The sequence below is a fragment of the Homo sapiens genome, chromosome 4, assembly GCF_000001405.40.
Source record: "Homo sapiens chromosome 4, GRCh38.p14 Primary Assembly".
NCBI classification, from domain to species: domain Eukaryota; kingdom Metazoa; phylum Chordata; class Mammalia; order Primates; family Hominidae; genus Homo; species Homo sapiens.
In genome coordinates, this window is record NC_000004.12 from 74,869,899 (window position 1) to 74,895,105 (window position 25,207).

The 25,207-nt window shown below is 37.8% G+C and overlaps 2 long non-coding RNA genes across 3 annotated transcripts, besides 1 other annotated feature; one reads left to right on the forward strand and one right to left on the reverse strand.

Moving 5' to 3' along the window:
• Positions 1–1,851: 1,851 nt before the first annotated feature.
• On the reverse strand, positions 1,852–11,299 carry LOC105377282 (uncharacterized). 2 transcript variants are annotated; one of them, XR_938885.2, is made up of 5 exons: positions 11,218–11,299; positions 10,113–10,311; positions 8,554–8,649; positions 4,970–5,092; positions 1,852–2,109 (listed from the first exon to the last, which is right to left on the reverse strand). It is a non-coding gene; the product is annotated as an uncharacterized LOC105377282 (long non-coding RNA). The 2 variants fall into 2 exon arrangements; XR_938886.2 differs by lacking the exon at positions 8,554–8,649.
• Positions 11,300–11,633: 334 nt separating this feature from the next.
• Positions 11,634–25,014, forward strand: LOC105377280 (uncharacterized). The gene is made up of 4 exons (XR_938883.3): positions 11,634–11,723; positions 12,956–13,620; positions 16,539–16,938; positions 23,866–25,014. It is a non-coding gene; the product is annotated as an uncharacterized LOC105377280 (long non-coding RNA).
• Positions 16,275–17,474: an enhancer, noted in NCBI's record as "MED14-independent group 3 enhancer chr4:75811383-75812582 (GRCh37/hg19 assembly coordinates)". NCBI's record gives its function as "activates an origin of replication core promoter dependent on BRD2, BRD4, P300/CBP and CDK7 cofactors, and independent of MED14, by STARR-seq in HCT116 cells {active_cell/tissue: HCT116}" and the evidence as "EXISTENCE:reporter gene assay evidence [ECO:0000049][PMID:35650434]".
• Positions 25,015–25,207: the final 193 nt, after the last annotated feature.

A 25,207-nucleotide genomic window follows, 5' to 3' on the forward strand; every position in this document is an offset into this window, starting at 1 on the left:
CTTCACAGCTAACCAGTGAGGTAATTATTATCTCTGTTTTGCTAAAGAAAAGAAGAGTTGAGTAACTTTTCCAAGTTATGTCTGATTCCAAGCACATGTGTGACTATTACATTATCCTAGATTCATCTGGTTCTGTTCATGATGACAGCCCAGAATCTTCCTTGCCTTAGTAATAGCAGCCAATATTTATGGAGCACCAACCTGTAACAGATGCTGGGCTAAATGATTTATGCCATTTTAATCATTTAATCTTCACAGTCTGCCTATGAGATGGAGACTACTATTACCAGCAAAAGGAAAGTGCGTCTCAACAAGGTTTCTATAGTGAGAAATGGAAGAAGAATTTGAATCCTATAATGAGAAGAGGAGGAAGGGTTTGAATTATCAGATTGGTTCGAATCTCAATACTGCCAACTGCTACATCTTTATTTCAATTAAAATAAAACACCCCCAGCTCATGCATTTACCTACGAGCTTCAATCTACTTTGTTTCTAGGCTTGCTCTCATTACGATAAATTGCCACTTTCAGCTCTCTCCAATTTTTGAGACTGCTCTGACCTTTGATGTTATCAAATTTGGTTTCTCTTGCTTGACTCTTTATGTACTCTAAGAACTTTGGCTGACATTCAACCTCCAAACTGAAAAGCCCTCCTGATGACCATGTGCAAGATATTCCACTTAAGCATCCAATGACTCCAACCCCGGATCTGGTTCTTGCCCCCTCATGAGAAGGATTAGGACTTGAGCCAGGCCAAACCTTCCTCAGTGCCCTTAGCATCCCAGACCCCCACCAGGAAATGTCAAAGACAATATATGTCAAGTCAAAGCATCAATACTTTTATATTTTTGTTATTTTTTAAATGAAAATACTATTTTATGTCATATATATATATATATACACTGCTTGGTATTAGAAGTGCTGTTGTCATGTCAGAGCATTTGTCGGATCTAGTCTTATGCCTATCCTGTATTTTGTTTCCAGTACAACATTCTATGGAAACCTTATTTTGCACAGGTATATTATAGCAAAGATAACATAAAACAAAAGTTTCTCAATATTTAGGTGGTTCTACATTTTGCCATTGATAAGGTTTATTTCATATTGAAAAGCACAATTCTCACCTTTTAAGACAGCAAAGGCTACAATTGTTCACTTTCTAAAGATTTGATTTATTTACATAAACTATGAGGCTTACACCTCATAAGGAATACATTTGTATAATATGAGTGTTTAACTCATTACATTGTGATAATATCACAAATTTGTTGCAAGTTTACCACTCCAGACAACATAGACAAGGAATCTTAATTGGATTGCCTACATTAACCTAAAGAGGTATTTCTAAGTCCTCACTCTGCATCAGTGCATAAATCAAACCTCAGGGGTTTCTACATGTAGCTTCCTAAAACTTTTGGCACACTTTGTTTTAAGCAGATAATCTAAAAATAACAAGAACAGCCAAGAAAATGTATGTAATTTGTTTTTAACATATACATTGTAAATACATTTTAGAAAAAACATTTTTGGAACTTCTCTCTTCCTAAAAGAGCAATTCACTATATCTTAAGGAGCACTAAAACTCCTTTTCTTCTTATTAAATTGATACAGAGTCTCTGTCTCTCAGGCTAGAGTGCAATGGCACGATCATAGCTTACTGTAACCTTGAACTCCTGGGCTCAAGTGATCCTCCCACCTCAGCCTCTCAAGTAGCTGGGACTACAGGCGTGTGCCACCATGCCTGAAAGAGCACTAGAATTCTTAAGTACTATGAACAATCTGGGAAATTATATGTTAAACTATTATTCCTTGACAGTAATATGTGTACATTCAAACTTCTGGGAGAATGCCTTAACTCAATGGCTTGAAAGATTCCTGCCCAGAATGCTAGCAACAAAAGTGGATCAGGGAACTTCTAGTCAGCTTTGGGTATTAATCCCACTAAAACAGTTTCCATTCTTGGGGCTTGGTTATCAGGAGTCTGAAGTGCAGTCGTGGGTGTAGTTATGGCCAACTAGTAGAATGGAAGGATTTGGAGCTTGAGTCAAACAGTCCTGTGTTTGAATCCCTGTCATCTTTTAAAAGTTGTTCCCTCTTTGTTCCTCATCATCTGTAACATAGACATAATAATAACACACATGTGCATTTTAAATAAATAACATGAGTATCTATTACACACCAAGCTCTGTCCTAGATTATAATAATATAGCTGTGAAAAAGACAGACCAGGTCCTTCTGGGAGTTTACAGCCTAGCAAGGAGAAGACAGATAATTAGGAAACAAGGAAACTAAAAAGATAATCATAGTTTGTGCCTAGTACTCTGAAGATAATAAAGCCAGCTAATGCATTAAAGCTGTGCTATCAGATATAGTAGCCATTAGCTACATGTGGCTATTTAAGTTGAAATTGATTAAAATTAAATAAAACTAAAAATTCAGTTTCTCAGTTGCAGTAGTCACATTTTAAGACCTCAATGGCCATATGTAGCTAGAAGTAAAATTTTTCTGTCATCACAGAAAGTTCTATTGGATAGCACTGTTAACTAGATAAGGAGAGTTTGGGGCAAGGGAATACTTTAAATGATATTTATGTATATAAATAGCTGGTTCAATGCAGAAAACAATCTGTAGTGGGATCCAATATATTGGAACTATTATTATGTTAACATATCTTATGAGTCTATATACTTTTGCCCACTTTATTCATCAATTTATAAAGCCTTGGAATAAATCCATTTAAATGTAGCTAATTTGTTATTTCCAATTTATGTACTACTAATATCTAAAGTTCTAGGTTAATAACTTAAGCTCAAGACACTTACGAAAAGTATTTTTTTCTGCATAGGCTTCTTGATTCAAATAAAAAAGGAAATTATTTTCTTAAAATTTTGATGAATGATAAGCCTCAGAAAGTAGCCAAGTGCATTAGGCAGAAAGGACAATGGAAGCAATTTCTTAAAGGTTGAAATCATATTTGAAGTCAAAATAGATAAGGCTTAACAAGGTTCTAAATTCAAAAAGCAAATTCTTCTGTCCCTGATTTTCTGTAACTCTGACACTGATAACTCCACCTACCACATCTTAAAGATCTTTATGACAATCACAGAACTGGTATTATAGTCCCCAAAAGCTATGTGTAAAGCAGTATTTGTGCATCGAATCATACTTCCCAGTGCATGTTATTTTGAGAATATGTTTTACTTAGATAAAAGAAAGTAGCACCAATACAGAAAAACAACCTTTGAGGACTTACTGAATTCCTGGAACATGCCCAATGAAACATGCCAAAGAGAAACAACTACTTTAGAACTAAAAGTTTGTAATACTCACTTTAATACAGTGTGCTATGTAAATTTATTTTTTAATATGTTAAGATAATAGTCTGATTAATGTTTGAGTCCATTTATATTTGTAAATTTATTTAAGAAGCACACACGGGTTAATGTATACCAGCCAGATTTCATTTCTTTTCTTTAAAAATGACTAAGCAGAAACATTAACTGTGTTTGACCCAAGAATTTAGTAGAATTAATTCAGTGAAAAATCTCTATGGAGATATGTTTTCAGCTTAAGCTGGAGGATTAGTCGAATCTCTGTTTCCCAATCTAATAGTAATGGTGTTAATGCCTGTAAGTGTGGAAATTATAAACTACTCTATAACAGCCATTAAAGTTTTGTTGACCAAATGGCTAAATGAAAAAAACAGGTTAACCATCTCATTAGGAGAAGTGAAAAGTGTTGATTGAGCCAGCAGGGAACTCCGAAAATGATTTCCTCTTCTTGGAGCTACCACCTGGTGCCCTTAGGGTAGACAGAAGTGACATGTTAACCATGTATATGGAAATTGTGTCCAAATGTATTAAGTGAACAAATGTGAAACAGAAAGCTCTGTAGGAGGAACACCTTCTAGCTGGGTTTGGCTAGCCACACAGCTGCTCCTAGGACCCAAGGGCAGCTGCTCTTAGCTCCATTTAAAGAAACCCGTGAGAGCACCTTCAATCTTCTCTTTGTGGGCTAATTACCCAGTGAAGCAAGCAAAGCAGTCTCTGTGTACCTTTTCATTGTACAAAGAAAAATCTCAAAGCTATGTCTTGAAAAAGCTTTAAGAAATGGACTGTGTCCAATTATAAAATAGAGCTCTGGTTACTGCACATACTGCACAGTGATTTGAATTGCATCATCTTCCACATCCCCACCAACAACTCTTGGGAGCAAAATATAAGCCTTAGAACAAATTAATAACTCTTTAGGGTCATGCAACAAATAACATGCTTTTTATCTTAGCCACAAGACTCATTAGCAAACCTGAAGTGGCAGCTGCATGCTCTGGCTTCCTGGATTATTCCTGATCCCAAGAACACTAAAGCAATTGTTCACGATCCTTTGCACTGATATTCTGTAGAAGTATGTTTTTAATAAAGTTCTAGGATAGATATCTTAAAAGACGTGTTACTTTAAAAAAAAAGTTGATACTGATACTCTACCATGCAGGTAACCATATTTATAAAATATTTATGGTGGCATTTCTTTCTGGTTCCCAAAGTATTATATGTTCATGCCTTTGAAAGGAGGAAATACACAGAAAGCCAAAATGGAGATTGTGAAGTTTTACTTGCTTTTTAACTGTGTTTGTTCACTTCATAATATATTATAAACATTTTCCCATGTCATTAAATGTTCTTCTAAAGCGTGAGTGAATAGTGGTACAGAACACTCCAATTTTAACAATTCCTATTTTTGAACATTTGTGGTAGTTCCAATTTTGCTATTATAAATAACACTTTGAGAAACATGCTCATACATAAATCTGTCTGCTTATGTTTCTTTGAGATTATAAAAGTGGAAGCACTGGGTCAAAATATTTTAAATATTTTTAAAGATTTTGATAAGGGTGGTTAAGTTCAAACAGCCACTCTGATTTATGAATAAGAGAAAAGGAAAAATAAATAATCATGCCATGGAGTATTTACTGGAAGGAGCTGAACACAAAATGGCCAAGCCTTCGCTTTCATAGAGTTCTTCATTGCAAGGGCAGTGATTGATCCTTCTTGACCACCAGATGGCAGTAGAGAACACAGCAAACTGAACAAGACCTAGAGGAGAAGAGGAATCCACTCTTATTTAGCCTTATATACTTAGCCATTGGTTTTTCCTTGGGCAACTAGGAAGATTGGGCCTATCATATAAACAAAAAATAAATAAATATTATCAATCAGATCAGGCACAAAGACATTGGAGGAACACTTGCCTTTCATTGGACCTGGTGTTGAGAGCCACTAATCTGTTTTGCTTTATGTTTTCCTAAAGTTCTCTTCACACATTGGTCTCACTGCTGATCTTTTTCTGAAGTAGGTTTTGGTTTCTCTGGAAGCAGCCAAACATTTTATGTGAACCCCTGTACTTGCTCACCAGCTCACAATGAGGCAAAGTCTGGGTAAAATGAAATACTTTCACTAATGTCTTTGGGTTTTCCTATTTACTAGCTAAACAGGAAGTCACCAAGCAAAGAAGAGTGGCTGCTGTGAGATACCCCTCCACATTGACCTTAGACAGTCATTATTATTTATTCTGACTTTAGCGGAAAGAATACTTCCTTGCCTCCTTTTCCTGTCTCTGAGGAAAGGATATTCCAGACTCTAATGCATTTGGAGTTTCCAAAGATATGGTAGAGCTGTTCTCAAGATGCCTGAGACATGCAGAAAGCTTCATGATAGCTAGCACAGTGATGCCACAGCTGCACCAGCCAAATGCAATTGGAGTTTCTATTCAGTTTACTAGTGCAGCTACCTGAGCAAAGTACAGATAAAAAGGAAGTAACAACACAAGGGTGCCTCGTACTCCTGTTACCATTATGAAATTGAACTGAGACTTTAGTCTAGAATTTGCAGAGGCCAATTAGAAGGATTTGTTAAAAATATTAGTGCTCTTATCATAAAAACATCTATATGAACAACAAAAATATAAACAAAGAATAAGTAGTCTACTATTTGAGAGTAAGGATACTAACATCTGTTGAGTAATAATCCCTTCTTAAAACACCTAATAAGGGAGTATTAAAAAAAATGGAGATCAGGAAAAAGTCCTGAACCTACAATCAAAAATTAAATTGTACAGTATATGAGGTTCATTAAGCCACGTTCTTTACATGACTTCAAGTTTCCCTTTAAACAATTGGGCAATTCAGCTGGCAGAATAGAAAAAGTGAATGTTCTTTCGGCCTACACTCGTAGAAATACAGTGAGTGTAGTTACAGGAAACTTCTACCTCGCAATCAGAACACATTTGGAATATTTTGCTCAATTCAGAGGAGCAATGACAAACTGGACTCCATCTAGAACAAAGCAGTAGAGTATCAAAATCATGTCCTTTCTACAAGGAATGAAGGTTCCCCTGAAGAGAAGACTTAGGTAACAATATGATAGTTCTCTTTGAATACTGAATGACTCTTTCATAAAAAAAATGGAATTTATCCTTCCCTCTGTAGTTCACAGAACTAGATTCAATGAGTGAAAGTCATAACTTGCCAGGATTTTCATATACCCCCAGGGAGCACCTGTTTCCAATTCCCACAAAGGTACACTGTGGGCTAGTCAAGGCCATGTTCAAAAATTACCATGAGATCCAATCAACAATGGAAGGGTTGCCTGGAATGCAATGAGCTCATGAAAGGTTTTGAGCAGCCTGAGTAATTATTTTGGCATGAATATTCTAAAAGGGGCTCTTAAACTTCGGGGTTTAAGACTTTCATGGAGAAAGATGATCCATGAAAGTTCTTCCAACTCTAAGATTCTGTAATTCCTTAAAAACCAGAAATAAATCAGGAATTGCAAAAATAAGCTAACATATTCAAGGGAAGTTTTTTTTTTCAACTTTTATTTTAGGTTCAGGGGATATATGTGCAGGTTTTTCACCTGGGTATATTGCATGATGCTGAGGTTTGGAGTACAAATGATCCCACCACACAGATACTGAGCATAGTATCCAATAGTTAGCTTTTTAACCCTTGTCCCTCTTCCTACCTCCCCCCTCTAGTAGTCCTTAGTTTCTGTTGTTTGCCATCTTTGTGTCTGTAAGTATCAATGTTTAGTTCCCACCTGTAAGTGAGAACATGTGGTATTTGATTTTCTGTTGCATTAATTCTCTTAGGATAATGGCCTCCAGCTGCATCCATGTTGCTACAAAGAACATGGTTTCATTCTTTTTTATGGCTGCCTAGCATTCCATGGTTTATATGTACCACATTTTCTTTATCCAATCCATGGTCGATGGGCACCTAGGTTGATCTATGTCTTAGTGCTGCAATAAACATGCAAGTAAATGTACCTTTTTGGTAGGAAAATTTGTTTTCTTTTGGATATATACCCAGTGATGTGATTGCTGGGTCAAATGGTAGTTCTGCTTTAGGTTTCTCTGAGAAATTTCCAAACTACTTTCCACAGCAGCTGAACTAATTTACATTCCCATTGACAGTGTATAAGCATTTCCTTTTCTCCACAGCCCCACCAGCGTCTGTTGCTTTTTTACTTTGTAATAATAGCCATTCTGACTGATGTGAGATGATATCTCATTGTGGTTTTATTTGCATTTCTCTAATGATTAGTAATGTGAAACACTTCTTCATATGTTTCTTGGCCACTTGTATGTCAGTAGGGAGAACATTATTATTACATTGGCTTAGGTTAAGATACCAGATTCTTGAATTCCTAATGCAAGACCAAATCTTAAGCCAATAGAGTTTCAGGAGTAAAGATGAGGATAGGGACCTTGTGCAGCTTGAAGAAAACAGTATTGGTTGACTTTCTTAGAGGCAGAAAGGGTCATGCTGAAGTTAAGTAGAATCAAGTTTTTTTGGGTGGTTTTGTTTTGTTTTGAGACAAAGTTTCACTCTTGTTGCCCAGGCTGGAGGGTAATGGCATGATCTTGGCTCACTGCAACTTCCACCTCCCAGGTTCAAGTGACTCTCCTGCCTCAGCCTCCCAAGCAGCTGGCACTACAAGAGCACAGCCGGCTAATTTTTGTATTTTTAGTAGAGATGGGGTTTCATTATGTTGGACAACCTGGTCTCAAACTCCTGACCTCAGGTGATTTGCCCACCTTAGCCTCCCAAAGTGCTGGTATTACAGGCATGAGCCATCACACCCAGCCAGAATCAGGTTTTAAGAGCCAAGAATGAAGAAGGATACCAAGCCATCTCCACAATGTGACATGGGAACACTAGGAAAAGCCATATACATTTTAAAAACTTCTTTACATCACTGTTGATAACTGAATGTCAATAATTGAAGCTTTTAAAAAGAGCTGCACCCTCCCTATTTTGAAACTTTCTTTGTCCATTTTCTTTTCATGATTGTGCACTCACCCAGATCTCTTACAATTGTGCTCTATCTCTTTCCTAGGCTCCTATTTCACTGGTCATTCCCTAAATGCTCGTATCCCACTAAGTTCCATCTTCTGCCTGTGGCTCTTTCTTCTCACAAGCAACCTCTGGGTGAAAAACAAAAAACAAAACAACAACAACAACAAAAAAAAAAAACTGCTCTTAGGTGTTACTAACCTTTGAATGGTGGTAATTTTCCAACTCTAAATCCTCAGGCCAGACTGATATAAACAAGCACCTGTTGGACAGCTCCACTACGGTGTCCCATGGGCCCTGCAAAAGTCAACATGTCCCTAAACAAAGGCAGAATATCCTTCCTCGCACTTCACTATAGCACCTGCTCTTCTTTCTATAGTGACCATTTCCATTAAGGACATCAGAATGAAACTAACCACTCAAGCCAACAATCTAAATATCCTAATTTTCCTCCATCTTTCTCATCTCCCATATTCAAGCACCAAGTTCCACAAATTCTAGTTTCTCTAAATTTTTCAGATTCATTTCATCTGAATTTTTTCTGCTGTGTCCTCACATGGTCTTTTCTCTGTGTGCCCGCATCCTTAGTGTCTGTTTTTGTGTGCAAATTTCCACTTCTTATAAGGACACTTGTCAGAGTGAATTTGAGCCCACCCTAACAGCCTCATTTTAACTTAGCCACCTCTTTAAATATCTTTTCTCCAAATATAGTCACATTCCAAGGTACCGGGGGTTCAGCCTGCAACAAATGAATTTTGGGACAACACAGTTCAGCCCTTAACAACAAACTGCACACTTACTATCTCCTCTGCTCAATAAAGGCTTTGCTAAAGAGGACAGAGAGTAAGGATACTGAGGGCTTGGTCAGAGGAAGAGGTTGTGGTAGGGCAGAGTAGTAGAAGAAACATCAACACAAAAAGAAATGAAAATTACCAGGCCTCAGAAAATACTACCTATCCCACAAGCTCACTGAAAAGAATATTCAAGAATACTTTCTGCTTTCAATTGTCAAAAGGATATGAAGGAGAATATCACAATCTCATGAGCAAATGAAAGAGTAGAACACAAAACAGGCAGGAAAGCAGCTTCTCCAACTAGGCTGGGATTATGGCACATAGGCCAGAATGTTAACAGGGTGGCCTTTAGTTTGATACATGAACAAAACACCATATAAAATATGTAAAGATATGCACTCATGGCCAGTATCAATGTTACCTCAAGTTGGCTTTGATAAAGTATGTCTGTTCAAATGAGTTGAGACTCAAAAAACAATTTTTGCACACTTCCAAAAAGAGAACCTAAATGTAATTTAGCATTTCAAGGGTATTCTCAATGCTTTTAATCTATTGTTATTCTAGACAGAAAACTAACGAAATATGCCAGCCTGCTCAGGCATTAACAAAAAGCGAGACCTTTTTATATATTAATCTTGAGTTATGAACACTACTCAGCTAATGGATAAATGCATGTCATTATTCCCAGTAATAGCAAATGCACATTGTTGCCTGAAAGTCACTCATCTGTGCTCTTATTTTCATCAATGTTTGCTAATATCTAAGCATTGACCACGGTAATAATACCAGCCAACATTTGAATAAATTTTAACAGCTTACAGTGTGCTTTCCAATAAATGTGAGCCTGAGGCTCACCATAGAGGGGTGGGATAGGGAGACTCTCTGGTTAAATGCACAGGTTAGCACATGATAAGAGTTTTAAAATACCCACATAAAATTAAAAATCAGAAACGTCAAATGACTTACCCAAAGTCACACAGCTGATAAATGATGGAGTCAACACCTAAGCTTCATCTTTTAAATTTAAATTCAGTGTTTTTGCACTCCGCTAACCAAGAGTTCACATATACATCCCTACAACTGCACACCAAGCTTTGTAGATGCTGTGAACTCACAGATGCATGAGGTTCAGTCCCTACCTTCAATCCTTCAATTGCATTACAGTCTAAAAGGGAGAGACAGACATATAAATAAGAAAGTGTAATAAAGTGTGGAGAAGCTTTGACATAAGTATATGGAGGAACACAAAAGAGGATAGACATTTTTCTCCAAAGAATGGTGAAGGGGTGAGGAATGTCTCTATAAAAGTAGCACTTCAGATAAGGAGGTAATCATCAAATGATAGCAGAGGATATTTCTGGCCAAGGGGGCTATATTACCAAAGCATATATATATATATATATATATGTGTGTGTATGAAAAAGACTGGATATATAGAAAACACTGCAAATATTTTGATATAGCAAAAGCATAGGGTTATTGGAGATGGGAGAGGCAACAAGAGTTAAGGCCTGAGAGATAGGGGCTTGACTACGCGGGGCCTTCATGGCAAACCAAAGATTGGAAGGTGTGTCCTGTTAATAAGAGTTTTTTGAAGCATCGTTGTCTATGAATTGATGGGCATTGTGACATTAAAAATGTGAAAGATTGGAAAATGGATTGGATGGGTGTAAGACAGGAGATAGGGACATCAGTTTGGCCTGTTCCTCTAAACCAGGCAAAAAATCATATGAACCACAAGGAGCAATGGAAATGAAGGAAATTCAGCTTTAGAAACTTCAAAACATGGTGATCACTCAGTGGCGGGAATAAAAAGAACAGCATCTGAGATGATGTAGGATTCATTTTTACTAGTGTAAGGAAAAACGAAAGAAAGAGAAAGGAAGGAAGGAAGGAGAGAGAGAAGGAAGGAAGGAAAGAAAGAAAGAGAAAGAAAGAAAGAAAGAAAAAGAAAGAAAGAAGAAAGAAAGAAAGAGAAGAAAGGAAGAAAGAAAGGGAGAAAGAAAGATGGTGGAGGCAGGAAAGAAAGCAGATAATAAATTTTGCTCTGAGTAAGTTGAGTTTAAGATACCTGTGGAATACCAGGAACCAGCATTCTGTGAGTAGTTTTGACACAATAATCAGAACTCAGGGGAGAGTTGGGTAGAGAATTGAGTCATGGTGAAAACAGGGAAGTAGATGCCCAGAGAGAGAATGGAGAACAAACAGAGAAGGAAGCCAAGAACAACCTCCAAGGAAAACACAACATTCAAGGTACACGTAAAAGAATAGAAGCCAGTAAAGTAGAGAAAGAAGGACAAATCAGAGAGGAGAAGAGCCATGAGATACCTCTCAGAAGCCATGGTATTAAACATCTCCAGTGCCCCAGTTAAGTCAAATAAGGTGGGAAGTGGAAACTGACGAAGTTTATTGGACTTGGCGCTTTCGAAGTCACTGGAAATTACCACCACAGCAATTTCAGTAGATTAGCAAGGTGTTGACTAGAGTACCATTAAGAGTGATTGAAAGGTAAAGAGATGAAGACAACAAACAAAGGCTATTCTTCTAAGAAATTTATCATGAAGATAAGAAGAAAAGGTAAGAATGGTAGCCAGAGAAGAATGTATATATGTGTTGATAAAAGGATTTACATATTTGTTTATGTTTTGGTGGAAGAAATTTGAATATACTTAAGGCTGAAGGAGATAGTAGAGAAGGAACGGATGAAAACAGGATAATGGACCCTCCATGCAGCAGAATCCCAGGAGAGGCAGAGGAAACAAGATGAAGTGCTTATATTAGGGAATCACATTTGACCAAATGAAAGGGGATAGAAGGAAGGTGAAAACCAGTAGAGTAAGGGAAAGGGTAGTTGAAACTGTTCACAATTAATTACCACAAGTTTTATAGTGAGAGAGTATAGGTAGCAGGAAGCAAGTGAAGAAGACTGTAAAGGTTTGGAGTTGCCATGGTGGCCAGATGAGGGAGCTGATCAGAGGTATGTAAAACTGTTTCAAAATAATGCTAAAGACCCCTTCAGGTGGAGACCATGACTTAGCAGTGGTTCCAGTTTGGAAGATGGTTTTTTTCCAGGGGCTCTCACCAGTGCTGGGTGCTATAATAGGAAAGGCAGACATAAGCCAAGTTTGGGGGCAACAAAAGTTTGTCTTCCCCTCCTACTGAAGTTGGAAATACTTATTTCCCAGTTTTTATTTCAACTGAAGATGACCTCATGACAGGTTTTGCTTTCCTGATGAAAAGGAGAAGATGTGGATGATATATGGCCCATTTTTGCTTCCTCCTGCTCCTAGTCTGGAGTATGGAGCAATCCTAGAGGTGTAGCAGCTACCTGTTAAGCCTGGGGCAAAAACCATGAGAATCAAAGCCAACAGGGTGAGGATGGTGAGAAGAAAGGTAGAAAGTGCCTGGGGCCATGTTGACATTACGGAATATGTTATGGGCTGAGTTGTGTCCCCCTAAAATTTAAATGTTGAAGCCCTAACCCTCAGTGCCTCATGAAGTGACCTTATTTGCAAATAGGGATTTTACATAGGTAAGCAAGTTAAAATGTCATTGAGGTGAGTCTTCATCAAATCTGACTGTTGTTCTTATAAAAAGGGGAAATTTAGAGACAGACACACATGCAGGGGAATGCCATGTGAGGATGCAGAGACCAGGGTGATGCTTCTATAAGCCAGAGAATGACAAAGTTGCCTGAAAACCACCAGAAGCTAATGGAAAGACATAGAACAGTTTCTTCCCCACCAAGCTCAGAAAGGACAAACCTATCTACACCTTGATTTCTTTTTTTTTTTTTTTTTGCCCTAAAGCAATGAAATGCAGATCGACATCTTCATTTTGGACATCTAGTCTCTAGAACTCTGGAACAATAAATTCCTGTTGATTATATCACTCAGACTGTGGTACTTTGTTACAGCCCTAGCAAAACACTCCAGAGCATCAAAAACCCTTAAAGTAAACTCCTACCTCTAAATGTTCTATTACATGAGAAAAATAAGCAACTATTTATTTAAACTAAACTACTGGTTGAATCTTCTTTTTCTTATAGTGGATGGAATCTCAGCTAGATATAAATAGGCAAAAGAGATCTAAATAGGAGGAAAATTTGAGTAATTAAGGAGGTAAAAGCTAGGAAGAAATGACTGGATCAAGAATTTCCATGAGGTCAAAGGCAAATATAAATTAGGTTTAGAGGTTAGACTAAAATGGAATTTAGAATTCCAGAAGTGGAACAGTTGTATGTAACAATAAGATAATAGGTGTGCCCATGGATATAGATTGCTGTCATCGGATGATAATTAGTGAAGTTAAGGATGTCAGGGAACTCTAAAGCCAGGTTGGTACATTATTAAAAGCCATGGGCCCTGACATCACACATGATGATTATAATGTGAAGAGACGAGACTGAGACTATAAAGAAAGACCAGGAGTGAGCTAACTTGAATGATACCAAGGAAGATGATATAATATGAAGGTAGGAGCCTCATGAGAGAGAAGAATTTTGCTTGAAAGATGAAAAGTAATAGTTTAGAAGGAATCACAATGTTTGATGATTGATAGTATTCCAACACCATTGCCAGACTCCATGGTAGATGAAATATGGGAAATAAAGTTCATTCATCTCAAGAAAGCTACCAGTAAAAAAGTGGCCTTGAACTTGGATAATACATACACCTTATCACCTGAATTATTCAAAGAATTGATGCCAAAGAAAATTTAAGAGTGTAAATTATATAAGTGAATTTCAAATTTGGAAGGGATGTTGTGAGTATTCAGTTCAATCTCATACCACTGCAAGGGTACTCGTCCTCAAATTTTCATCTCAAGTTGCAGGTACATCCCTGGCCACAAAGTTTCTCTTGATTATATAACTATATGTTAGAGAATAGAATGAGAGAAAGAATGGTTGATGACACATTGTTCCAAGTATGTTGGTTCAGCAGATTATTTTTAAATACACCCAATTTACACTCCCATTTTTTCCTTCAGATTCCAGTACAAAGGGACCTCTTTCTAAAGAAAGAGCTCTTGTAACTATAAATATCAGCTGACAAATTGCATACCGAATGCTTCAGCAAATAGGTCAGAATATCAGAGCTACCATTCCACAATTTGCAAAAGATAGTAATAAATGTATTTTTACTACACATCATTTTACTCCTTACACTTTTGAAATATTATCATCGTCCTTCAGGAGATAAAGAAAGAAAAAATTGTACCTTTAAAATGAGGCATGATGCCTTGATGTGTTCAATGTGCTCCCTGACCTTTCAGAAATCTAACCAGACCTGGAGCTATAAAGGGAATAACATCTCTTTGCATTGGGGAAAACTATTGACTTAGAACTAAGTGACTGAACAAAGTGCATTACTATCGTTACTCCCTCCCCCTTCTCTCTCTTCCATTAGAAACAAGGGGAAAAATGCTTAAAAGCAAAATGATCTGAAAAGTGCTCACTGCTGGGAGGAGAAGCTGCCCTGGATTTGGCAATTTGTCACCCTGACATTTACTGCCTGATGAACAGCCACTCGCTAAATTTTGCAGAGAGCTAGGCTGAGTGAGACAGACCTCTCTGGCTATTAGATGGAGAGCTCATAAACACTGATATTCATAGGGATTGGATTTTTTTAATAATAAAAATAAGATCCTGATTAAGTACATGCAAATTATGTGGTAGAGAGGTATACCTGAGGCTATAAACACTTTTTTAGAATTACTAAGTGAGAAAGGTTCACAGTAAAAAAAACTTCCAGAAATAACAAAATTTGAGCAGCTCTCTTGACTATCCTTAAAGCACAGAGGGTTAATGTGATAAGGGAAATATCTCTGTTAATACACATTAATCACTTTCTGCAAAAGGTACGTTTTATTTTTCTGGAGTTAAAAAAATTAAATTACCCTAGAGGCAATATTTTTAAGAAATATATGGTTCTTAAATGAAGTAAAGTAGCTGAGATACACAAAGCCATACAACTTTACTTTTCTAAACCTGGACTTACCAGCCCCAACTTTTACTGCAAACAGAAATACTTAATTGTACCGTTTCAAGATAACTTAGTTCTTGTGGTTTACTTCTCTGGCTCTTTTGGTTAATTTCTCTTCGGTTCAGGGTTTTGTTTCTCCCCTACTTTCAGGCAGCATCTGGATTTAACAGAAGCTTACATAGCATCCCAGCCCCAGTTGGTGGGTAAAGAGGGTGCGTGGGGTCTGTGTGCCCTCCTCTGTCCTGCTAAAGAAAAAAAATTATTCTCACACTTGTTAGAATAGTGAGGAAGACTTTATTCAAGACTATTGCAATAGAGATTTGCAATAAAGGAGAAAGATTGGGCTCAACTCTGAATATAGCAAGGACAAGTACTTACAGCCAATGGGCAGAGTGAAGGAGTCATTAGACAGAAAATTACTAAGAGGAGAGATCAAGAGTAGGGGGCTTCTTGCTAAGCTAACATAACAGAATTCTTACTCTGAAGTCAGTCCAAAGACTTATACATCAAAGGTGGGGGATAAAGAATTTGATCAGATATCAAGGGTGGGGAGATGACTTAGCAGGATCCCTCACTAAGACTGATCTAGGCAGACCAAAGACAGGATAGTGCTATGGTCAAGGCCTAGTCAAAAAGAGGGTTCAGAGGAGCCTAACTTTGGTCAAGGAGAGAGTCTTTGCCAGTCCTTGCCAGTCTCCACTGAAGCACAGTTAATCCTGACTGGCCTTGGGCCTCAGTCATTTTCCTCTTAGCACATGATACTGAGGCCCTCATCCCACCTTGTCCTCCACATCTCAGTCCACTCATTAAAATTCTCTGTCTTTCTAATTCCACTGCTGAGGTCTTTCTTGACCAGCCACTTCTGCACCCTCCTTAGGGACTCAAGAATTCTAATCTGCATTTCCATACGATATTGGGATGCCTTGAACATATTCCACCTAGACATTTCTCATAGCTTCTGTTACTCTACCATGGGAAAGTCTTTGGGTTTATCTTCAAGACTAACATTCTTTCTGACTAATTTTGGAAGGCTAAACGTTGTCCATTTTATTCAAAAATCCCCATAATTTACCAGGAGCTTCCATTCATCTAGACTAATAATAAAGAAGACATCAATCCCAATCTGCCAAGCTTTACCTCAGATTTGAAGAAACTACTGGGAAAACCCATAGTGTAATTGAAGTAGAAAAAAAAAAAAGAAAGGGGAAAAAAGAGTGAATCTTCTCTTCTGTAATTTTTTTTCAATTGACAACATTACCATCTAGAACTGGCAGACATTCCACATATATAGGATTGTCCTGAATTAAACTCTGCTGCCTCTTTTTAACACACGGGATATATAATGTTACTTGATTCTGCAACCAGAAAGCAGTTTTCTGAATATGATACTTTCTATATATAATTTCAGTATATCCTCATCTGGTAAAGACAGACAGAACTCTGAAGTGGAAAGAGCACTTGTCAAGATATCAGGAGATGACGGCTTTGTGAGTTCTGTCACTAACCAGTGTATGTTCTTGACCAAATAATTTTACCTCTCTCAACCTTGGTTGCTCCATCCACCAAACGATAGCGATCTGAATTCGTCAGCTTCTTTTCTATTATGACACTTGATTACTTCATCACCAGAAGCTGAGCTCCCAGCTTGAGTATGCAACATGTCTGGACATGTTTGGCTAATTACTGTGGCAGCCAGCCTGCTGGCCATTGCAGAATGACCCAGATGCTTCCTGAGAGAACTCAGGTTTAAGGAAGAGAAAACCAAACTCCAGGAGTCTGACAGCAACAAAGCCTTAGTTGACAGAAAGGTAGTTATTTTGGATGCATAAGTGTTTATTATTCTTATTTGCCTCCTAACTCCATGTCTAAGTTCAAGAAAAAGCAAATTAATTAATAAAAACCAAAAGACTGGGTTTGCTAAACAACTTTTAAAAATATAGGGTCAAAACTGTTTTGTACATAATGAAAGAAATTATAGATGACACAAACAGAAAAACATTTCATGCTTATGAATCAGAATTAACAGTGTAAAAATGGCCATTGTGCCCAAAGCAATCTAAATATTCAGTGCATTATCATTATCAAAATGCCAATGTTGTTTTTCACAGAATTAGAAAAAAACATCCTAAAATTTATATGGAACCAAAGAAGAGCCCAAATACAAAAAGAACAAAGCTGGAAGCATCACATTACCTGAATTGAAATTATATTATAAGACTGTAGTAACCAAAACAGCATGGTACTGTTATAAAAATAGACACATAAATCAATAGAACAGAATAGAGAACCCAAAAATAAAGGCACATATTTATAGCCAACTGATCTTTGATAAAGTCAACAAGAAGACACATTAGGGAAAGGACACTCTTTTCAATAAATGGTGCTGGGAAAATTGGATAGCCACATGCAAAAGAATTAAACTGGACTCCTATCTCTTACAATATACAAAAATCAACTCAAGATGAATTAACAACTAAAACATAAAACCCCAAACTATAAAAATACTAGAAGAAAACCTAGTGAAAACTCTCCTGGACATTGATCTAGTCAAAGAACTTGTAACCAAGACCTCAAAAACACACACAACAGCAGCAAAAATAGACAAATGAGACAAATTAAAATGTTTCTGTGTGACAAAAAATAATAATAACGATCAATAGACTGAACTGATAACCTTCAGAATAAGAGAAAATATTTACAAACTATTCATCTGATGAAGGATTAATATACAGAATATATAAGGAACTCAAACAACTCCAAAAAATCACCCCACAAATAATCCTATTAAAAAGTGGGCAAAGAGGCCAAGCATAATGGTTCATGCCCGCAATCCCAGCACTTCAGAAGGCTGAGGTGGGAGGACTGCTTAAGCCCAGGAGTGTGAGACCATCCTGGGCAACACAGCAAGACCACCCACCTTCCCCCCATCTCTGCAAAAAATAAAAAACTAAGCGGGCATGGTGGTGCACACTATAGTCCCAGCTATTCAGGAGGCTGAGGTTGGAGGATCATTTGAGCCTGGGAAGTTGAGGCTGCAGTGAGCCATGATTGTGTCACTGTACTCCTGTACTCCAGCCTGGGCAACAGAGTGAGACCCTGTCTCAAAAACAAACAAACAAACAAAAAAGGTGAGCAAAGAATGTGAATAGAAATTTTTTAAAAGAAGACATACAAATGGCCAACAGGTATACGAAAAAACGCTCAACATCACTAATCATCACAGAAATGCAAATTAAGTCAGAATGGCTATTAATAAAAAGTCAAGAAATAAGAATCACTGATGAGGATGCAGAGAAAAGGGAATTCCTATACACTGTTGTTAGGAATGTAAATTAGTGCAACCTGTATGGGAAACAGTATGGAGACTTCTCAAAGAGCTAAAAATAGAACTACCATTTGATCTACCAATCTCACTACTGGGTATCTACCCAAAAGAAAAGAAATCAGTATAACAAAAAGATTCTTGTACTCACATTTATCACAGCACTATTCACAACAGCAGTCATGGAATCAACATAAGTATCCATCAACATATAATTGGATAAAGAAAATATGGTGTGTATACATAATGGAATACTATTTGGCCATATAAAGAATAAAATTGTGTTTTTTGTAGCAACATGGATGGAACTGAAAGTCATTATTTTAAGGGAAACAAGTTATACAGAGAAAGTCAAATATCACATGTTCTCATAAGTGGGAGATAAAAAAATGTATACACATAGACAGAGAGAGTAGAAAGATAGACAACAGAGACTTGAAAAGATGAGGGAATACCAGGAGGATGGATGAGGAGAAATTACCTAATGAGTACAATGTACATTATTTAGGTGAAAGATACCTGAAAAGCCCTGACTTGACCATTGTACAATCTATGCATGTAACACAATTTAATTTGTACCCATAAATCTAGATTTTTTTTAAAAAAAAAACAGTATTTTGTGATCCTTCTAACAAACTCTGATGCAAAAGGAGAGAGGGCATTTCTTCACTTTGCCTCAGTCATAGCAGAATCCTGGCATCAAAAGGCCTCCTATGTTTTTGCATTGGTCATTGATGGAGGCCCAAAATTACACACAAAGAAGTTGGGATGCCCACAGAGCAATAGTTGTACCAAGTAAGACAAGGCAATATCCAGTAAACGGCCACCAGAATTTGGCAGTATGTGGTCTCAGCACAGTAGTTTTGATGAGATATCTCTGATAGAGAAGTGAGGGTGTGGTAGGTCTAATGGGATTGTCCTGTGTTCCCAAGGTTTTAGGGTGAAAAAGCATGGGTGTTTCCTGAGGATTATGCATGAGAAAGCTGGTGTGAAGCTTCTAAGATGCTGTCTAAGAAAACACCTGAAGGTCCGAGGGGACCTCAGCAGAAGGAACCTAGAAAGGTTCCACTGGTTGCTTGGGGATAAAGGAAGGAGTCATAACAATCAGATGGAATCAGTGCCTTCCCTTGTGCCAAATGGACTTCAGGCAAAAAATCCTAGTAAGAGGATCATTTAATTCTTCTCTCTCCTCACTTGGTTTGGACATATTAAGTCTTGAATTGAAACTGCATTTTGGAACCATGCAGGGTAACCAAAAAGAGCTACCCCTACATACAGACGTCAAAGTGGGCTTGGTGAGGTGCACAGGAGGTAAAGTTGTTTTCTCATCACACTCCATGAGTCCTTCTTGGCCAACATAATCATTATATTTTCATGAAGTCTTTATATTCTCTTGATCATTTAATGAAGGTGTTCCCTGTGGGTTAAATGTTTCTGAAGTCAGGACACACACCTTGCAATTAATACATACATTTAACGTTATGGAAATAGTGTGGCTTTTTTCTTTCTAAAAATGAGTTATTAAGTTGATAGTGAGCCTTGGAATAAAAGAAATATGATAATACAGAGAAGACACTACAGTCCATTAGCACTTCATCCCCATCACCAACTCAGAAACTGCATGGGTCATATTTGTATAATAAAACATGACAGCCTGATCAGGAAGCAGTAGCCTTGCAGCCCCTATGTAGGCTACCCCCACTTTTCTAAAATCCTAACTGCTGCCTTAGCAGGTACACAGTCATGAGATGAAGTGACAAACTTGTGATTGGCCAAACTGTCCAGCAGAATAGGCTTGAGGGCCTGGCAGATTCCCTAATCTGCATCACTGATTTTGGCAGCATCGCTGTCAGGGAACCCAAATGTCAGCACCAGCCTCATGTCCCCAGGCTCAGGGAACAGGGCAGGACAGAGTAGCAGAGAATGTCTGGGGCATGGAGATTTCTTCAAAACAGAGGTATAGATTGTCAGTGACAGATGGCCAGAAAGCTAACTGAACAGATCAGCTTTATTAAATTTTGAGAGCAACAAACGATTAAAATTTATTTCACAGCTATTTAAATTCCTAAAGAAATTCTTTTTCTGGATGAGGTAAACGGTGATGGCAAAGCATGCTGTTTTATGTCCCTTCCCCTGCATGTGTGCCTCTCTCCAGTCGAGCCAAGTATCTCTTTCCTCTTGGATTGAGTCTCTCTGAGAAATTGATGAGCCAGAGGCCAAGGTTTCTTTCTCTCCATCTGCTCCACCCGGCCTGAGTGCCTTTCTCTGACACTAGGCCTCTGTCAGAGACATCCCTTCTACTTTGACAAATATGATGTCTCTAACTTTGAATTCAGGCTGAAAGGATTGGTTCTCAGTCCTTTCTCTGCAGGAATTTCACCAGGACGCTTTGCAAATTTGCCAATACCCTGCCCAGAAAACTTCTATATATCAATGAATTTTGTGACAACAGGGATAATACTTTAAATGAGTTAAATTCATTTGGACTTTGCTCCACCCAGAAAGCATGTTTCTGGTAACCATTCTACCATTATACTTTTGGGGAAGGGTGGGGGCATTGCATTCCACTATGAAAATGAATCCAATAATGTGAAGGAAATCCCTCTATGAATAGGAATAAGGATGAGAAGGGATGTAAGAGAAAATCTGCTCAGTCCCAGCCCAGGAATATCTGTGAATGAGAATGAACAGAGAGGAACAGAAGCAGGAGTCAGCCCAGCATGTCTTGTGGAGACCCTGCACTGTCGCAGGCAGAAAATCTCTCTGTTACAGCATATAAGTTAAAAGAGGTGAAGGTTAAAGAATTTTTGTGCCATGTACTGTTTGAAATTCTGAAGGAGACCAAAGTGCAGTTTAGCCCCATGGTAACAGTAACATGATACCAAAAAAGCACACTGAAAATGATAGCACAGCATTTTTAAAGAGATAAACTGTCTAAGCCAGCATGCCCAAGTGTTTGGTTCTCATGTAGAAGAGAGGACTAAGACAAAACTCAGCAGTCCTGCTGCACAAAACAACCTGAGGGCCATAGTTGAATGGAGGTGCAACTCTCCTGGCCACAACCTCTCCATCCAAGAAACCAGTGACAATAGCTTTCTAACCTGAGTTCCCTGCATTGCCTAAATTATTCATCCACCAAAGGTGCCATTTACAATGGAAGACTAATAAGCCACACAAGACTAATTTCTTTTTTGTTTTGTTTTGTTTGTTTTTGTTTGTTTGTTTTTGAGACAGAGTCTGGCTCTGTCACCCAGGCTGGAGTGCAGTGGCGCAATCTCGGCTCACTGCAAACTCCACCTCCCAGGTTCACGCCATTCTCCTGCCTCAGCCTCCTGAGTAGCTGGGACTACAGGCGCCTGCCACCGCACCCGGCTAATTTTTTTGTATTTTTAGTAGAGACGGGGTTTCACCCTGTTAGCCAGGATGGTGTCGATCGCCTGACCTCGTGATCTGCCCTCCTCGGCCTCCCAAAGTGTTGGGATTACAGGCGTGAGCCACCGCGCCTGGCCAATTTCTTACTTAATCTTTCCAACAGGAGACAGGGTAGCTAGTCCTCCTGGGCAGAGTTATCACAATATTAGTCTTTTGTGACTCTTTCTGCTCCCCATCAATGGGAAGAATGAGGAAGGGAATGGGCAGAAAGAAGACTTACAGACATCTGCAGTTTGGGGGTTTTGGGGAAAAGAAGCAAGTCAGTTTTTAAAGATCATGATGGATTTAGGCACATACACCTAAGTGTTAGCTCTCATTCCTTCTGATCCAACATAGAAAATAAAGAAGTTCTATTTTTATTTTACACATCTGAATGGTAGAGCAAAAATGCTTTATGATTTCATTTTACAACTGCTGAGAAAAACAAAATGAGCTCTGCATAACCAAAACTCCTACCACAACTAGATTAGTTATTATTATTATTATTATTATTCATTTATTACTGGTTTTCCGTGTCAAGGAATGGTCATTCTTGTCAAGGAATGGTCATTAGCATGTTTATTAACTGAGATGAAAAATTTAAGAGAAAGATCAGATCTGGGACAAGAAAGAAAGATCATGAGAAAGATCAAAGTATTGAGTCCAGGGTTCATTCTTGTCATGATTTTATGCCTGCAATTCATATGAAATTAGAACTGGTAACATTAATTAGTAAAATTATCTGCATAAGGACCATCGTTGAAACTGTGGAACTGAATGAGATTGGCCTCAAGAAAAGGTAAAAAGAAAAGATAATCTTGTGGGACACATTAATTTCAAGGGCAAATGGCTGAAGATGAATAAGAAAGAGAAAAGTCAGTGAGGTGACCACCCCAGGAGCTATAGACACCAATAGAGAGCATAAGAATAGCTCTACATTGAAACTTTTTATAGCTCATTTCCTATCTTTTTAGGATACAGAAGAGAGAATGAAGTTAGAGCATTTGCTGAAATGGAGGGATATAATGTTGCTTTTGAAAACTGGATGAGAAAAGTTTTACAAATACTATTATTTAATAGATGAGAATGAAAGAATTGAGCTGTGGGAAGGATGAAGCTGAAATTATAGCTGGAGCTATAGGAGATCAAATGAGAATGATTCTTGTGGACTCCCCTAAAAGACAACAGGAAAATGTAGCAAGCAAAACTAAGTTTATTAGACTTTCTTCAGTGACAGAGAAGAGCCCCTTGATAGAGTCTTAGTAGCATCCTGGAAGAAGGAAATCAGAAGGGGATATGTATAGGCTTTAAGATCTGACTTTGTGGTTTTTAGGCAGGTCTTGCAAGGCAGGTCACTGGTTGGGATTATGGAGCATTATGACCCAGCAGCTTTAGAATAATGTGCACAGTAAGGCAAGGGTCTCAAAGCAAATCTTGATGATCAAGCTGTTAGTTTAATTGATTCAGAGTCTTATTTTGAGGAGTAAATATTTGCTGTGACAAGAAGCTAAGTTATTCTTGTTCTCGGCATTATTTAACATGAAACAGGAAAGCCTACGGTTATTATTTAGCGTAGGGACAGGAGATTGTTTTACTTTCAGTTCTCATTTTATAATTTTCTCTGGGGATAGTAAGAAAGGAGCCAGAGGAAAAGGGAAATGTGGGGATTATCTAGCATTAATAATTGACAAGCTGTATAAGATAATGGTGAAAGAGGGAACAGTCAAGCCAGATCCAGAGGACATAGTTGAAATAGTGGATCGCAGGGTAGTAAAGCAGGAGGGGAGGCTGATAACATGTAGCTTCAGTGAAAGAAAGGATTTGAAAATATTAAATAATAGAAGATTAGGCTGAGAAAGGACAACAATATTTTAATATATAAAGTGAAAAATGATTTATTATACTTTTTGCTAATTACAAATAATAGATTCACTTAATTATATGAATATTTATACAGTAAGCTAAAATAAAACATTCAGCCTTTCCCCCAATTTTTTGACAGGTAAATTCGTCCTCATATTTTAAAACCAGTTCAGATCTCATCTCTGGGAAGCTTTCCTGACTTTCTGAAGTACCTTCTCTGACTCCCACAGCACATAGCATGGTCTAAGATCTCTACAGTGATTCCCAGCACCATATATAGTTCACATATGTAAGGGAGGGGAAAACTACATCACTATTTAAAACCAACACTGACTGCAGCCACTTCAGCCCCTAAGGAAGTGTAAAATTTTTTGCATAGAGTAGAAAGCCTTCTACTTAACAAAATTGGTTCCTAGTCCATTGTGGCTGTAAAAGGAGAGACCTCCAGAGTATGATTTGGAATGGTTCAGTGAAACAAAGAATAAAATTGCCTTGCATTCAAAATGAGAAAGAATTAAGGGAATTGGAAGCAAATTCCAAATACAAGGACACTGTAGAGGGAGCAAAGGATCAGACAACACCCACATATGGGAGGTCATTAGCGCAAAATCGGCCAGCTCCTGATAGTAGAATTGACCTAAGAAATTCTAAAAAGAGAGTAACACTCAAGTTTAATTATTTTCCATGTGTCCTTTGTCATCACATCACCTGAAACCTTTAATAATGCACACTACATGCATTAATGCCTTATGTTTCATAGGAAATCAAGAAAAGGGGACTGAATTCCACATACGGTCTGTGCATGGCATAGAAAATAGGATAGCCACGGAAGGCGAAAAACAAGTAAAATCAATTGTAGAATGAGGTGACCATGAGACTATAAGACCATAGAGTGTGAAACAACAACAAAACCTTGCCAAGGGCCATGGGCTTCCTCTGGGATAAGCAATAAGTATCTGAACAATGTTTCTTAAATGTCCAAGGAAAGGAGTTGTCAGGTACCATCTGGTGTCCACCAGCTGACCTTGTGTTCCCCATTACAAGAGTGAGTCCTTCAGGGTAGGGAAATGTATCTTAAACATCATTGCACCCTCAGTGCCTAGCAGAGTGTATGACATATAGTAAGTAGTCAATAAGTACTTGTTAAATAAATGGATAAATATATAAAGAAATCAATTCATTTTTATTAGGGCAAGATGAGATAGTGTCTTGGTGGTATAAGAAAAGTATCAAAATGAAAAAATGAATGTGGAAACAGGAGAGCAGTAAATTCATATTCAAAGACCTATAATAGGAAAAGGACTCGTATATTTACATGTCATGTTCTGCTCTTAGAAAGTATGAGTAATAAAACTGGAAGTGTAACACTGCAGTTATTAAAAAGAGAAGGTAAAATATAGGGGAACATGAAGTCCTCATGAAAGACTATAGAGATGTGCAAAGACTATAGAAAAAAATAACGATCAGGTTGACAAGCTTAG